The sequence below is a fragment of the Homo sapiens genome, chromosome 3 (assembly GCF_000001405.40).
Source record: "Homo sapiens chromosome 3, GRCh38.p14 Primary Assembly".
Classification (NCBI taxonomy): Eukaryota; Metazoa; Chordata; class Mammalia; order Primates; family Hominidae; genus Homo; species Homo sapiens.
Window position 1 is genome coordinate 53,119,349 of NC_000003.12, and position 16,429 is coordinate 53,135,777.

Sequence of the window (16,429 nt, forward strand, 5' to 3'; positions counted from 1 at the left end):
CTGGCATGTGAGCCCCTCCAGGCTGCTGTCCTCACTCTGACCCTCACCTAGGACAGGTATTTATTCACTAAGCCTTAGTTTCTCAACCCTAAAATAGAAACAGACAGTGTCAGCCTTTCAGGGTTGTTGTTAAGCATTAAATAAGGCAGGTAAAGCATTCAGCATAGGGTCTAGCACAGTGGTTGTCAACTGGGGGCAATTTTGTCCCCCAGGGGACATTTGGCAACGTCTGGAGACATTTTGGGGTGCTCCACTGAGGGGTGGTTGCTACTGGCATCTAGTGGTTTGAGGTCAGAGATGCTGCTAAACATCCTACAATGCACAGGACAGCCCCTACAACAAAGAATTGAGCAGCCCAAAATGTCCACAGTGCAAAGATTTAGAAACCCTGGCCTGGCATAGAGCAAGCACTCCATAAATATGAGCTATAAAATTCTATTTATGATTATAACAATAAACCAGTTGCAGTTTCTTTCTCTCAAGGATAAGCAGCACCTATGATTAAAATGATAAGAGATAAAAATGTATTACTTACTCCATTTCTTGTAATATTGGGTAACAGATCTGTTATTCTGGAGACAGGAAGAGTTTGAAGCTTGGTTGATTCTGGGGAACCCAGTAACTTTGTGAAATAAATAACATAGCAGAGCACCAGAACTGTGGTATAGAAAAGCTGAGAAAAAAAATAAACTGTTTTAATAAAGGCATAATTAAGATATGCCTATAAATTTGATCTCAAAGGCCAGTCAAGTAATAGAACTCTCTTGATTAACTGCACTTTCTATTCAGCAATGCCTTACCCTCTGGGAAATGGCACTAGTCACTTAGACCCAACTCCACTGCAGCATCTACCTGCAAAGTGTTCCCAACACTTCACTTAACTGGAAGAACATAATTCTTCTCGGCAGGCAGAATGTAATTTCCATAACAGATGTACACTAGCTCAATTACCACAGCCATGTCTGATACATTCTCAAAAGGTGTGTATTTGGCCAAAGGAACGGCTCTTCCACCTAGTCAGCACCCTGCAAAGATCTATGTATCCTAACTGTGTTAATATCCAAGGACTTGCCGTCATCAAGGACTGTGGGTTTTCTATAAACCCCGGAAACCTGTGCCATTAATGATTACAAAGCACAATTGAGCTGCTGGCTCTCTCCTCTTCGCCAGGGCAAGAGCTACTACAGATAGGGGAAGAAAGGGTAGGGTGATAAGAGGGCCCACCCCTCCCTCCACCCATCCAGGACAAAAGAATGGCTTCTGGCCAGGAGCAGCCAGATGGGTTTTGTCTGCAGATTGAGGAGGAAAGTCCAAAAAAGCCCCTTTTCACAAGCTCCCTTCGACCCTCTTTCCCTCCTGAGAACAGCAGTGCACACTGGTTCAAGAAAGACTGGCACCTCTAGACTTGCTTTCAACCTGGCAATATCAAGGCTGCTCCTGTAGTAAAGGCACAGGGCAAGGAAAAAGAAGAGTCTCACTTTAGTAGGTGTGGGCCCCTCTGCTCTCCACTCCCAACCATGCCTGAGACAAAGCCCATCATCCACCAGCCTTCTTTCTTCATGCTCCAAGCCCTTAAAGCTCCAGCGGCACTGCTGTGAGCCACCCACCTGATGCCAGTGTCCTCTGTGAGAAGTACCCTTTACATAAATCATTACTAAGAATCTTAATTTATCTTCCTAAACATTAATGAAAACTACAACTGCTTTGCACTGTAAAATGTTCTGGTAACTATCTGATCTTAAATTTCATTTTTAAAAATAGCACTTGTACTCTAGTTGTATTTTTATTAGAACCAGAAATATGAACTAGAACTAGGAAACAATGAGATGGAAATGAAGCCTAAATTGCTAAAACTGAACACATACCTACTCTGACTTGATTCATGCCCTCTGAATTATGTGAGATTTCAAACTAAGTTTAAAACAGGCTTGGCAGAGTTTCCACCTATTCTGCAAAAAAAAGATGGAAATCCAGGGAAAATAATACATATACAATTTGATTCCCACCCCACCCCCCACTGATTTTTTTCTCCTTTACAAGACTATCAGATGACCAAAGATCAGTTTGAAACAGGCTTGCCCACTGAATGTCTAAAAGGGGTTTTTGATGTTTGACAATGAAGTCCAGTGTGTGGCCCTCACCAGGTCCCTAGAAACACCTACGGTCTCAGTGTATGGAACACAATGGACCTGGCAGCTAGAGAAGCAGTGCTAAGGCCACCCTTCTGGTGCTTCCACCTCCTGCACAGGCATGGGTACTGTGAATGCAGACCACACGGCGGTGGGAACAAGAAGAAAAACCAGTTGGAGAAACAAAGATCATATAAAAAGTTAAAAGCCATGATTCTTACCTGGGCCAAAGAGAAAATGTACAATCCCCAGTGAGGCAACCACAGCACGAGAAAAGCTGTCAGAACGCTCTTAAGAATTACCGACAGGCTCTCTGCAATCACCTGCAAACATGTGGTTAAGGTGCAGTTTACAAACATCATCAAAAAGTCAAGATGTAATGGAATGATAGACAGAAAATCTAGGGCAGTGGTCACCCTGGCTGTGGGGGCAGGGCACACAGCTGGACATAAGTATCAGTAACGTTTTACTTCTTGGGTAGGGTGGTGGGTTCATGGATCTTTCAGTATATTATGCTTTAAGATTTACATTAAATATATATTCTTTTGTAATCTATTATAAAAGATGAAGAGAGAAAAGTTAATGTTAGTATACAACTAAATATAACCACTAGAAAAATCTGAAAAACCTTTACGGTCCTTCTAAATTCTGACTTGAACTAATAAATTATTAGCAAATCTGTTTTTTATTTATGGTGAAACAGAGGTGAACTTTAGCCTAGCCCATCTGACAAATTTCAAGTGTAAGAACTTAACTGACCATGTTATCTTTTTCTAAATACATTTTTAGGTGCAAGTCTGGAAAAATCATTCATTCTCTCCTATAAAAGCATTTTTAAAAAACAACGCTTTTTCTTATTCTTCCCATTTCCCATTCACAGCAGAAGGTGCACTGACCTTGAGCTTCACAAACATATGTGCTTGTGCCAAGACCCAAAAGGGCTCTCCTAGAAGCTCCACCACTGCCGAGAGACCAAACAGCACCACTCCAGTTGCATAGTGAGGGACAACATTAGGATCAGGCACTTCAAGCAGCTGCAACCAGATCCAGCCCAGGAATAAGGACCAAAACACACCCAGGGGGACTCTAGAAGAGGAGAAAAAAATAATTCACTAAATTTTAAAATAAATATAAATATATATTAAAATAGTAACACTGAACAGAAAAAAATAGTTATAATACAAACAGCTACCATTTATTTATAAGATACTAACTACATGCCAGGCACTATGATTCACGCCGCTTATCTCACTGACACCTCACAATGATCCTCTGTCATTATCTCCATTAAAAAAATGAAACTGAGGCTGACAGGCACTGGGCAATTTGGCCAAGGTCATGAACAGCTAATCAAGGGCAGAAGCAAGACCCAATCCTGCAATAACTCCAAAGCCTAAACTTCTATCCACTGGGTTACACATACTGACCCCATAAGCAAAATTCCCAGAAAGAAAATGCCTGTTGTTAGAATGACTGACAGACTGTATACAGCTGTTCCTTGCATCCCAAATAACCAACAGAGCAGTGCTCAGTATCCTTTCGCATGTTTCACATGTGTACCATGGGGCACTTAAATATGACTGGGTGGTTAACAGTTGTTCCTCTAATAAAATGAACACCTACCAGCCCTCATGACAGTCATTTCTGTGAGGCAATAAGGAGTTATGCAAGGGCAGCACTGGGAAATAACCTCAAACCCCAGCCCTCCCTGTGGGGACCTAGCTGGAGAAAAGCCATTGCAATTTTAAGCTAATGTATTTGATCTTCAAGAATATCCTAAAAGACTCAGAACTGAAGTCACATAACAAAACTGAAGAAAAATGTAATAAAACCCATAAAAGGCTTTCAAGAAATACTAAATCTAAGTGGCTGTTAAAAGCTCAAAAGATATTATAGAGCAAAAAGATTAGGAATAAAAAAGATGGCACAGGCCAAGTGGAGCCCACAGTGGTGGTCAGAAACAGCAAGAAACCACCTCCAAAGAGGATGAAACCAGGGCTAGAAACCTGGCCCAGAAACCCCAACCCAGAACCTCTTCCTGGCTCCTGGATATCCAGAGAGAAAATGAGCCAAGAAGTTCCTTTGACACAAACACTGTCCCCGTCTTGTTGTATGCCTGCTCCCAGAAACCCATGACGAAACTGAATCTGGGGGCAATTCAGCTTTAGGCACGTGTTACTGTTTCATTTCCAATGCTCACTACACCTGCCTTCCTGAAACGTGTCTCCTGCCAAAGCACAACTCACGTTAGCCACAGCAGGTTGAGGGTCTGGCTCCAGTCTCGCTGGGTGCCCCCACTGAGACATGCTCTGCGGAAGGCCTCTCTGGCCAGGAAGAGGGTGGTTGAGTAAAGCAGCGTTAGTCTGTAAATGAAAGGGAGAAATCAATAAGGTCTCAAGTTTTTTCATAGAGAGAACTTCTGGGATTTTTCCAGCAACAGGGAGGAGATAAAGTCTTGGTCATAAACCACTGGTGGTGATGTGGAAGGCAGTGGGCTCTTACAGGACCCCCTACCGGTCTGATCCATGAGAACTAATGAGTTAGGAACCAAATGAAAGACACCTGAGGGTGTGTGCCTACAGTTACGTGAAGGATAGAAACTGCTGCAGTGGCCTCAAAAGGCTTCAGCCTTCATGGCTACAGGCAGAGGTGTGGCCATGACCATAAGGAGGAGAAGAAGATAAGATTATAACCCCACCCTTCTTGGTCACACTGACACGAGTGACCGATGGCCCCTGTGAGAAAAGCTGAGCCTCTACCGAGTGGAGGCTCTGGCCAAAAGAATCTCAAGACAGGCAACAAGGCTGGCAACCATTACAGAGGCTGCTGCAACCCAGATCAGCAAGGCGTGCCTGGGTACCTCCCAGGTGGGCAGCACCTGGGTGAGCCTTCCTGCATCTTAGCGAGGAGTAGCTGAGATCTCCCCTCCTCAATAGACAGCCGTCTGGGTGAAGCCAGAGTAGGGACAGCCCAGGGTTAAGGTCTCTGGGGTTGTCCAAGGATTATCCTGCTACCCAGTGCCTCTGTGGAACACTGCAAATAAGGAGATGGAACCAAACCTTAAGCAGGGGAGCAGGGCAGGCCAGACAAGGGCTGTCAAAGCAGGACCTGCCAATCTCAGGAAGGCTGCCTGGGGAGAAAAATCTGAGCCCCTAGGAGGATTTGCCCCTCTTCCTTCCTGCTTTTAAAACAGTATTTCTTAGGGCCAAGTGCCTATATTTCTCAGGCTCATGCCTACAATCCCAGCACTTTGGGAGACTAAGATGGGAGGATCACTTGAGCCCAGGAGTTCGAGACCAGCCTGGGCAACACAGTAAGACCTCATCTCTACAAAAAATAAAAAAATTATTCAGGTGTGGCGGTGCACACCTGTAGGCCCAGCTGCTCAGGAGGCTCATACGGGAGCATCGCTTGAGCCCAAGAGGTCAAGGCTGCAGTGAGCCATGATGGCGCCACTGAACACCAGCCTGGGTGATAGGGCAAAAGCCTGTCGTCTCAAAAAAAGAAAAAGAAGAAGAAGGTGAAGAAGAGGAAAAGAAAACATATTTCTCAAAGAATGGTCCCTGTTTCAAAATCACCTAAGGAGCTTATAAAAATTCAGATTCCTGGGCCCCTGTTCAGCACTATGTAGTGCAAAACTCCACAGATGATTCCTTTGCTCAAAGCTTGAGTCCTGCCACTAAGCTCTGAGACCAGAGCCAAGAGTATATGTTTGGTAAGTATTAGACATGAAATGCTGTCTGGAACATATTGTCTTATTTATCAGGACATGAAGACACACCTGAGAAGCTGAGCTATTCTGAGCACTCACATCATTTCATATACTTTGTGTCATTTGTGAAGACAAAATATGCGTGGGTGTCCTTGAACAGAAAGGAGGCGAGTAGAAGAAACAAGCTGAGTCTAAAAGACAAAGAAGTCATCTTTCCAAGAGCCTCCAAGAAACTGATGACAAAGACTCAAGCTCGAATCCCAGTTGCCATATCCCAATTATAAAATCACTGAGGAGGGAAGGAAGGTGGCTGCTCCAGCCCTGCCATTATGAAGCGCATCCTCACAAACTACTGAATTTCTGTTTCCTTTGCTGTCAGCAGGACAAGAACATAGGATTATATCTGAGAGAGAGTTTTTAATGAATTACTCCCACTCTTCTCCTTCCTGACTTCCAAGAGCAGGAAAACCAGAACAGCTGGCAAAGAAATGTGCATTTGGAGGCTGCTAATGGAAAACACTCCATGAGTCCATTAAAAGCAACATCGCCTGCGCGTCCCTCCACTCCTGCACGCTTCTCCTCAGCCTACTGCTAAGACATTCTGCTTCTGATAAAGGTCCATGCTTCTAGAATCCAAGGATGACAAACAGGTACAGAGTTTGAAGAAAGCCTGGCTAGGAAGGTGAACTCTGACAGTGCCAGGGTGCATCTCCTCCTACCTTACATTTACTACGCCAACGATTTCCTTTGACAGGAAGCGAAGAATAAATGCATTCAAGACAAAGGTGATCAACCGAAACAACACCTATAGAAAAAGAGGAAAAATACGTAAGAATAAATGACGTTAGAAGTGTTTACTTAGCTGAAATGAGAACAATGTGGCTGTTCTTCCTAATGTGATGTAATGACATACAGCAGCTTTTTCATGGAGACTCTCCTCTAAGACGCCCAACCTGTCTGCATTTCTCCTGAAATTTCATTCCATGGGATCTCTCAGCACTCCCGTGCAGTAGTCAAAGAACCCAGGAAGGCACTTGGAAGGCTCCCTAATTTATTAATAACAACCAAGAGGCCCCAATAGACTCACTGAGTTTCTACAAAGTCAAGCCCTTGAGGAAGCAGAAAGAGAATTCTAGTTAGTGGTTCACCTTGCCGGGCCCTGGCCACACTCCCCCACCCCAGCCTGTTTAGAAATAGCATACGCTTAGCAAGTGGGAGCCTTAAGGGTATAGCAGACTCACCAGAAATCATGGGGACTAATTTCTCTTTTCTCCTCTGCCTCATAATATCTAGGAATTTCAATAATGACATTTATATCGTTCTGAACTTCAGTTTTCTCAATTAGAACATAGAAAATGTATTTCTTTATTGAATACTTGTCTCTTTCCAGGGAGAAGTTGAAATACCTTTTAAATGATGCTGCAAAAATAAGATAACGTAATGTAACATGGGGGGAAGGGAGAGAGTGTCCAATTATTGCCGCTTGAAAGGGACATTTCCTGAGACTTTCCAATCTGTCAATTCAAGAAAACCATCTAAGCAAAGAACTTCTCCCATGAGACACAGAGAACAAGAAGACTGTAATTAAACAGGGTTGCTAAATGGGGATGCTGGGAAGAGTGCAAACCTCATTCACTGAATGACTCCCTTCTGCATCCCAGCAGCAAATGAAAATCACTTCTGTGTCAAGCACCCTCAGAGTTATCTGTGAAGAGTTGCAATTTGGAAGATTTGATCTAAGCATATCAATGGACTACTGTGGTCTGAAAATCTCTGGGGACAGCTATGACCAAAAAGGGACATTGTGTAACACTGTACCTAAAGTATCACAGAGCAGCAAGGTCTCCAAAGCCAAGAAATCACCATCTTAACCGTTATGGAGTCAAAGGTGGTCTTTTGAGTCTGATGACAGCTCTGTAGCTGCTCCTTAGAAACATGCAGATATGGCTGGGCATGGTGGCTCATGCCTGTAATCCCAGCACTTTGGGAGGCCGAGGCGGGTGGATCAACTGAGGTCAGGAGTTCGAGACCTGCCTGACTAACATGGTGAAATGCCGTCTCTACTAAAAATACAATTCACCATTTAGCTCTTCTATCTGTTATCTTCTAATTGTTATAAGCCTCAATTTCCTCGGTCAAATGAGTTTACCTATCACATAGGGTTGATTAAAAGGATCAAAAGAGATTGTAGGGCTGGGTACAGTGGCTCATGCCTGTAATCCCAATACTTAGCTGGGCGCAGTGGCTCATGCCTGTAATCCCAGCACTTTGGAAGGCCGAGGCTGGCGGATCATGAGGTCAGGAGATCGAGACCATCCTGCCTCACACGGTGAAACCCCGCCTCTCCTAAAAATACAAAAAATTAGCTGGGTGTGGTGGCAGGTGCCTGTAAGTCCCAGCTACTCGGGAGGCTGAGGCAGGAGAATGGCGTGAAGCCTGGGCGACAGAGCTAGACTCCATCTTAAAAAAAAAAAAAAAAAGAAAAGAAAATCCCAACACTTTGGGAGGCTGAAAGGTAGGAGGATCACTTGAAGCCAGGAATTTGAGACCAGCCTGGGCAACACAGTGAGACCTCATCTCTACAAGAAATATTTTTAAAAGAAATGAGACTGTAGAAGTGAAAGCATTTTTTAAGTGCATACAAATGAAAGGCATTAATACTTTCAGCATAGGTGGCTTAGAATTAAGATAGAACAAGCTCTCAAATTCTTGCAGAATAAAATGTAACCACAAAGCTACCTGAAGTGTCTACAGTGTAATTCGAGAAAGCATACAAGAATGAAAACACTCAAGAAACCATATAAAAATATGGTTATTAAAAAAAAAATCCGAGCGCGGTAGCTCACACCTGTAATGCCAGCACTTCGGGAGGCTGAGGCAGGTGGATCACTTGAGGTCAGAAGTTCGAGACCAGCCTGTCCAACATGGTGAAACCCTGTCTCTACTAAAAATACAAAAATTAGCCAGGTGTGGTGGCAGGTACCTGTAATCCCAGCTACTTGGGAGGCTGAGGCCTGAGAATCTCTTGGGCCCGGGAGGCGGATGTTGCAGTGAGCCGAGATAGTGCCACTGCACTCCAGCCTGAGCAACAGAGTGAGACTCCATCTCGAAAACAAAAAACAAAACACCATGTGTACATACTTATGTTAACCTCAAAGTTACCACTGTCTAAGAAACTTAATGTTCCAGGCCATATCCATGTCTCCTAATTGGTTTGAATAAAGGTTGCAGCTAATGAAACTGAGGTTGCTTACGCCACCCAGTATTTGCCACACACTGCAGTCCTTATTAGCAACACAGCCTTCATTTACTTCTGCAAAGAACTTTACAGCTTTTGTTTTAAGACAGGGTCTCACTCTGTTGCTCAGGCTGGAGTGCAGTGGCATAATCACAGCTCACTGAGGCCTCAACCTCACAGACTCGAGATCATCCCACCTCAGCCTCCTGAGTAGCTGGGACTACAGGTGCATGCCACCACGCCCATCTAATTTTTGTATTTTTTGTAAAGACAAGGTTTCACCATGTTGCCCAGGCTGGTCTTCAACTCCTGAGCTCAAGCAATCCTCCTGCCTTGGCCTCCCAAAGTGCTGGGATGACAGGCATGAGCCACCGCGTCCAGCCAACTTTACAGTTTTAACAAAAAGGCTCTCTCACATCTGTTAAATTATTTGACACTAAAAACAACGAGGTAAATGCACAGGAAGCAAGACTGAGGGTTAAGTGATTTCCTCACTGTCACACGGCAAGTAAATGACCCAGCTTGACCTTACAGGTAAGCCACCTGACTCGTAGTCCAGTGTGTTTTCCGTTATAACTTGTTTTCGTTTTATGAAGCCTATCTGAGTAGTAAGATATTATCAAAGGCTGAAAAAAAACCAACATTGTGGATAAAACAATAAACTCAGTTATTTATGTAGTGAAACAGAAAAAAAAAATCCCTAGGTAAACTTAGAATGGCTAACATTTACTAAGCACATATCACGTGCAAGGCACTCTTCAACATGCTTTCCATAGGTTATCTCATTTCATTCCTACATTGACTATTTTAAAAATACTTATTACCCTAATAAAAATAGCTACATTTATTAAGTACTTGTAGTGTGCCAGGCACTTAAGAGGCATGATTTCATCTAATCTTCCTAATGACCCTGTGAGGTTGCACTATGATTCTCATTTAAGATGAAGAAACTGATACAGAAGTCATCGGATTTATCCCGAAGGCAGGCATCTAGCAAGTGACAAGGCCCAAACTCAAGCCCCATTCTGCTTGGTTCTTTCTTCTGCCCTCCATGTGCCTCTCTAAGATAAGGGGTAGGGTAGATTCGGGACTTGTGTGAAGTAGGGTTGATTGGCTCAAGAGTGAGACAGAGAGATACTGAGCCACTTGACTTAAGAGGTTCAGCTCCTGGGGTTGAAAGAATCTTCAGATACCATTTGGACTAACTGGCCTGTATCATACCTGACAGATGACAAAAATTAGGGCCAAGAAGGGAAGTGACTTGTCCAAGATCACATAAACAGAAGATGCAGCCAACATGTATTAAATGCATACTAAGAGCCGGGTACTGTGTTAAGTACGTTTATTTGAATGATCCCAATCAATCCCTGCTTATGAGCTAAGTACGACATATTATTACCCCCATTTTACTAGTGAGGAACTCAGGCTCTGCAGGTGAAGTCACTTGTCCTGGGTCACGGAGCAATCCAAGCCTAACTCCAGATTTCTCTTCTTAGCTATGCCATATGGACTCTCGGAACTCAGTGGGACTCAAAGTTTGAGGAAGGTGTTTGATGAAGGAAATGAACCCCTTGCCTGAAAAATATCAGATTCTCGAGCACGAAATACCAGTCCCTCACCCCCGCCACCTGATCTAATTCACTCCTACTGCCATATGGGAAATAGAATGCTCAGAAGGAAAGCGGCTTGTCTGCAGTCACCCGGCCTAGACTCTAAAGGCAGGCTCCTATCTCCGGGCCAGGGTCCCCCCTCATCAATGCCACCGTCTCCGGTCGACCCCCCCACCCCCTCCATTGCGGGGTCCACCTCGGGACTGGGTCGGCCCTGGGGCAGGCTCTCAAGGGCCCAAGGGCTGCCATCCCGCGAATCCCGGCTGCAGTACAAGCTGGAACCTGAAGGGCAGAGAGTACCTGCAGGAGGAGACCGGAGGAGGCCAGCCGGGCCGCGTGGCCCAGCACCTCCTGGCTGCCCATAGCCTCCGCGCCAGGCTCAGACACCAGGAAATGCCGCCGCCACTCCGTTTAGTCGCGATAAGATGGCGTCACGGCGCGCCTCGCTGTCTGATTGATGGCCTTGAGAGAGGGGGGCGGGGCACGAGAAGTTCTGGTCCTTTAAGTGGGCCTGTCTCGGGCCGTCTGTTATGGCGCCTGGCTCTTTCTATTTCGGTAGGTTTTGCGCTGTCTGTCGCTTGTGCGCTGTCTGTCCCTCTCTTCCCCGTATAAACGAAATAGTGTGGCGAGTACTAAGAGATACCGTTAAAGAATCCAAAGTTCCTTCTCTGAGGCTTTCAGCCACCAACCAAGAAGCACTAACTTTCCTGGCCTCATCTGCCAAAAGGGGAACAAACTTCTCACTGGCCCGTTAAGAAGATTCTCACCATTGACCTTTGCTTACAGAATCACAGCCACAGACCCTCTGAATTAGGCTGGACAGGAATTGTCCTCATTTAACAGAGAAAGAACTGAGGACCAGAAGTTAGATATAGCACTGTTATGTGTATGGTTTTGTGAAATCCTTCCGAAAGCTCTGAGAATTGGCCCCTGTGGTTAGAGATGAGTAAAGCCTTGGAGATGGGAAGTGACTTGTTCGAATCTACACAACTTGTTTCCTGACTAAGTGGATACCAGGCTCCTGATCCTAAACTTATCACTCTTGCCTGTATGCTAGAAATTGTGAGGGCAGAGTGGAAGAAGGACTGGAAGTGCTTTGTAAAAAAATGTAAAGCGCCCAACATACACAATCAGCTGCTGTTCTGTCAGTGTTCTTATTATCTACCAAGCAGGCTGTAGGAAGCCCAGTCTTTCCCCAATCTCTTTCAGTCCTCACATGATTTGGCCCCAACCTATCTTCTACTACCTTTCACACGATCATTGCCCTTCCCAACACTATCTAGGCCATAGCCATTCCGAGTCCTTACTGGTCCTCAAACAGGCGGTGACTCACTGGCCTTTGCTCCTCCACCCTCTTTGTCCAAAGTGTCTTCCCTGACAGCACCCCTTGCCCTCCTAGACCACACTGTCCTGACTTTCCTGGCCAACCACAGCTGGTACCTGCTGTGGACTAAATGTTTGTGTACCCTCAAAATTCATATGTTGAAGCCTAATCCCCAGTGTGATAGTATTAGGAGGTAAGGCCTTTGGGAAGTAATTAGGTCCTGAAAGTGGAGCCGTCATAATGGGATTCATGTCCTTATAAAAAGAGATGTCAGAAAAATGATCTCTGTGTTTACTATTTGAGGATACAGCAAGAATGTAGCTGTCTGCAACCACGAAGAAGGCTTTGTAAAATGTAAGGCGCCCAACATACACTTAACAGGAACCAAACTGGCTAGCACCTTGATCTTGGGCTTCCAGCCTCCAGAGCTGTGAGAGAAATTTCTGTTTTTGACTTACCCAGTCTATGGTATTTTGTTACAGCAGCCCAAGCAAATCAAGACAGTACCCCTAAAATACTCTGTACCCCTTTATAGTTCCTAATGCAATCTGCATTATAGCAGAAAGACTAGAATATGTGTCTCTATATAATCAGCCCATGAGCTCCAAGAGGGCAGAAGTGCAGCCTGCCTGGTTTTGCTTCCTGAAGTAGCGGTACAGAACATTCTTAGGGCTCCTATAAATGTCTCCTGACACATGACTGCTGCTACTGCTGCTGGAAACAGACTGTGGAACTCAAAGCCTATCACTCCCATCTTCCCAGGTGAAATGAGCTCTGTCTTAGTGTGGAGGCCCAGAATGTGAGCTTTTCTTTTTCTTTTCTTTTCTTTTCTTTTCTTTTCTTTTTTTTTTTTGAGACAGGGTCTCGCTCTGTCTCCCAGGCTAGGGTGCAGTGGTACAGTCTTGGTTCACTGCCGCTTCCACCTCCTGGCCTCAGGTAATCCTCCCACCTCAGCCTTCCGATTAGCTGGGACTACAGGCGTGCAGCACCAGACCTGGCTGATTTTTTCTGTGATTTTTGTAGAGATGGGTTTTTCCCACGTTGCTCAGGCTGGTCTCCAACTCCTGGACTCAAGTGATCCGCCCACCTCAGCTTCTCAAAGTGCCGAGATTACAGGCATGAGCCACCGCACTGCACCCTGCCCAAGAATGTGAGCTTTTGTCTGTCAGAGAGAACTGACCTTGAATCCTCATTCTGCCACTCACTGACTGGGTGACCTCAGTATGCTCAGCTACTAAATAGGGATATTATCTGTCCTGTAAAAATAGTCATAAGGATTGTTTCAGGCAAGTCTGGCCCTCAGAGAGCTTAAATTCTAGTGAAAGGGAAACTGAAAAAAACTCTAACAAACAAATAAAATTTCACATAGGGCTAAGTGCTACGAAAGAATGAAACCAGGTAAGATCCTAGAGGCTTTGGAAGAGAGAGAGGGGTGCTGTTTTAGGATGAGTGAGTTGGGCACCCACCTGGGGAGGAGTGTACTTGGAGAATAGAGAAAGTGCTGGAGGGTCCAGGTATTTGGCATAATGGCTGAGATGCTAAAGACCTTGACCTGGGCAGCCTTCCCACCCCCCTGGACTGTGGGCCAGCAGGTGAGACAGCCTCCCACTTCCTTTATTCCCAGCCAAGCAGTCTCCTCCTCTACAGCTCATCCCCAGAGTAGAACCAGCCAAGAGTTCATCATGTGCACACACTCCTAAGCCTGGCATCCATGTAAGCTGCTTTGGGAGGGAAGAAGTGATCATTTTGCTAGGAGCAAAGAAGTCAAAGGGGAAATGCTCCAAGCTAAGTCTAAAGGGCAAAGCATTCTAGGACCCCAAGGTATGGACTCTGTGGGGCTCCTGGGTGAGGAATCCAGGGACTTTTTCTCTTATTCTGGAAGTTAACACTTGGCAAGGAGGGACTGAGCAGAGCCCAGAGCCGTGCTGGGTTCTGGGGTGGGTGGGGAAAAAGGAACTGTGAGGAGAATCCACAAACATTGACCACTGACTCCATGTCAGGCACCTGTCTGAGCACTCTACATGCGTGTACTCCATCCTGTCAATAACCTATGAGAGAGGGACTGCAGATCAGGAAACTGAAGCACAGGGATGTGACGTAACTCATCCAAGGTCATTCAGCAAAGGAATGGTCAAGGAGGTATTTGAACTCGGGTCCCTTCTGATTCCAAATGCGTGAACAGTAATGTTCCTCCCTTCAAAAAAAGCTTCTGATTGTAAAGGAGACCTAAGAGTCCCTATATGTAAGCCACAGAGAACATATGTGGCATTGAGAGAGTGGAGTCTGGGAGGGCTGCAGCAGTCGAGCTGTGGTAGGCTTGGAGGCATTCCCTCTCCCCAGTGAGGATCTCTGAAGGTCTTGACCCTGTTGGAGATACTGGCCTGCACGCTCCACTGGGAGTTGCATACTCCATGGTCTTGCCCATGGAGGACTCAGCTCAGGGCTGGCAAGTAATGGCCCACTGGACGTTGCATTTTGTATGGCCTACAAGCTAAGAATAGTTTTTACATTTGTAAATGGTTGGAAAAAAATCAAAAGAATATTTCATGACACATGAAAATGGTATAAAATTCAAATTTCAGTGTCCACCAGGTACAGTGGCTCACGGCTGTTATCCCAGCACTTTGGGAGGCCAAGGTGAGTGGATTGCTTGAGGTCAGGAGCTCAAGACCAGCTTGGGCAACATGGTGAAACTCCATCTCTACAAAAAAATACAAAAATTAGCCAGGCATGGTGGTGCGTGCCTGTAGACCCAACTACTGAGGAGGCTGAGGTGGGAGGATCATTTGAGTTTGGAGAGATCAAGGCTGCAGTGAGCTATGATCATGCCACTGCACTCCAGCCTGGGCAACAGGGTGAGACTCTTGTCTCAAAAAAAAAAAAAAAATTCAGTGTCCACAAATAATGTTTCATTGGAACATAGCACACGTACCCGTTTGTTTACATATTATCAATAGCTACTTTCTTGCTACAACAGCAGAATAGGTTGGTCCACAAAGCTGAAAATATTTGCTAGATGGCCCTTTACAGAAAAACTTTGCCAATTCCTGGTGATCACCATTGAGCACCTGGGATATAGTAAACATTTCAATATTGAATGAATGAATGCATGTGTAAGTGCATTGGAATAAATGAATGATGAAGGACTAGGAAAGGAAGAAAGACAAGTACATAGGGCTCTTGTACTCTTGGTCCTCTTGGAGAGGAAGTGGCCCCTTGAGAATACCAGGCTGTAACTGGTGGTCATTGAAGGAGCCGTTTTCCCCAGCCTTCCTCCCCGCCTCCTGCGTCTGTGCCAGGTAGCCTCCCTGCCAGGGAAATCTGACCCAAGCCACCTATTTTATTACAAAGCTGGAGGGAAGTGCCAGAGCTGGTGCCAAGCCAATTAGGCTCCTAGGGCAGAGGAGCAGGGAGGGAGGCTGCTAGTGGGCCAGGAGACAGGGTGGAACCTCTGGCCAGCTGGGCCATGGATCTCAGCTAGGTGGAGGCAGGAGAACTGGGCATGGTCCCACACACCAGCCACTAGGTGGCAGATCGTCCTGGGTGAGGGCGCTGCCTGGCCAAGGCTTCTGCGTCCCAGAGCACCTCCATCAGGGCCCCTTCCAGAAGCAGGACCTCAAGGCTCTGCCTCTCTCAAGGCTCTGCCTCTCTCAAAAGTCCCAGGGCATGATAATGCAGCTGTGATACTAGTCGTCCACATCTGTCTAAGTAAGCACTGTGCTGGACACCTCACTTTCATGATCTCATTTAATTCCCATAGCAGCCCTACAATGTAGGCACCATTATTATCCCCATTTTACAGGCCAAGAAACTGAGGCTTGACAAAGTTAAGGGACTTGCCTAAGTACTAGTGAATGGTAGTGCCAAAATTTGAACTGGGCAGTGTGGCTTTCAGTCCCTTAACCAGACCTAACCCAGAGGGTTTATTGTTAATGCTGATTCCTGGGCTCCACCTCAGCAATTCTGGGGTAGGCTCAGGAATCTGCATTTACCAACACTCTGGGGGCTTCTTCTTTTTCTTTGTTTTCTCCTTCTCCTTCTTCCTTTTTTTTTTTTAAGACAGAGTTTCGCTCTTGTTGCCCAGGCTGGAGTGCAATGGTGTGATCTCAGCTCACTGCAACCTCCGCCTCCCAGGTTCAAGTGATTCTCCTGCCTCAGCCTCCCAAGTAGCTGGGATTACAGGTGCGCGCCACCACCCCCAGATAATTTTGTATTTTTGGTAGAGACAGGTTTTCACCATGTTGGTCAGGCTGGTGGTCTTGAATTCTGACCCCAAGTGACCCACCTGCCTTGGCCTCCCAAAGTGCCGGGATTACAGGCATGAGCCACTGTGCCTGGCCAGCCACCATGCCCAGCCTCTGGGGGCTTCTGATACAATGATCTAGGCTCTCAGAAGCACTGCCTGAGGTGGGATCT

At 45.8% G+C, this 16,429-nt stretch overlaps 1 protein-coding gene across 6 annotated transcripts in view, besides 4 other annotated features; it reads right to left on the bottom strand.

Moving 5' to 3' along the window:
• RFT1 (RFT1 glycolipid translocator homolog) overlaps positions 1-11,087 on the bottom strand; it is a 63,583-nt gene extending 52,496 nt beyond the window's left edge. For all 6 annotated transcript variants that reach the window (XR_007095765.1, XM_011534215.4, XM_011534214.3 and 3 more), the window contains exons 1-6: positions 10,990-11,087; positions 6,561-6,646; positions 4,376-4,492; positions 3,026-3,215; positions 2,351-2,452; positions 536-673 (exon numbers count right to left, since the gene is read on the bottom strand). Coding sequence is in view for 5 of the 6 variants with exons in the window: in XM_011534215.4 (XP_011532517.1) it covers positions 536-673; positions 2,351-2,452; positions 3,026-3,215; positions 4,376-4,492; positions 6,561-6,646; positions 10,990-11,052 (696 nt within the window). In the remaining variant the exon portion in view is untranslated. The remainder of the gene's footprint in view (positions 1-535; positions 674-2,350; positions 2,453-3,025; positions 3,216-4,375; positions 4,493-6,560; positions 6,647-10,989) is intronic.
• Positions 10,943-11,132: an enhancer, noted in NCBI's record as "active region_19954". NCBI's record gives its function as "activates an Ori minimal core promoter by ATAC-STARR-seq in GM12878 lymphoblastoid cells {active_cell/tissue: GM12878}" and the evidence as "EXISTENCE:reporter gene assay evidence [ECO:0000049][PMID:35858748]".
• Positions 11,143-11,192: an enhancer, noted in NCBI's record as "active region_19955". NCBI's record gives its function as "activates an Ori minimal core promoter by ATAC-STARR-seq in GM12878 lymphoblastoid cells {active_cell/tissue: GM12878}" and the evidence as "EXISTENCE:reporter gene assay evidence [ECO:0000049][PMID:35858748]".
• Positions 11,233-11,432: an enhancer, noted in NCBI's record as "active region_19956". NCBI's record gives its function as "activates an Ori minimal core promoter by ATAC-STARR-seq in GM12878 lymphoblastoid cells {active_cell/tissue: GM12878}" and the evidence as "EXISTENCE:reporter gene assay evidence [ECO:0000049][PMID:35858748]".
• Positions 11,443-11,492: an enhancer, noted in NCBI's record as "active region_19957". NCBI's record gives its function as "activates an Ori minimal core promoter by ATAC-STARR-seq in GM12878 lymphoblastoid cells {active_cell/tissue: GM12878}" and the evidence as "EXISTENCE:reporter gene assay evidence [ECO:0000049][PMID:35858748]".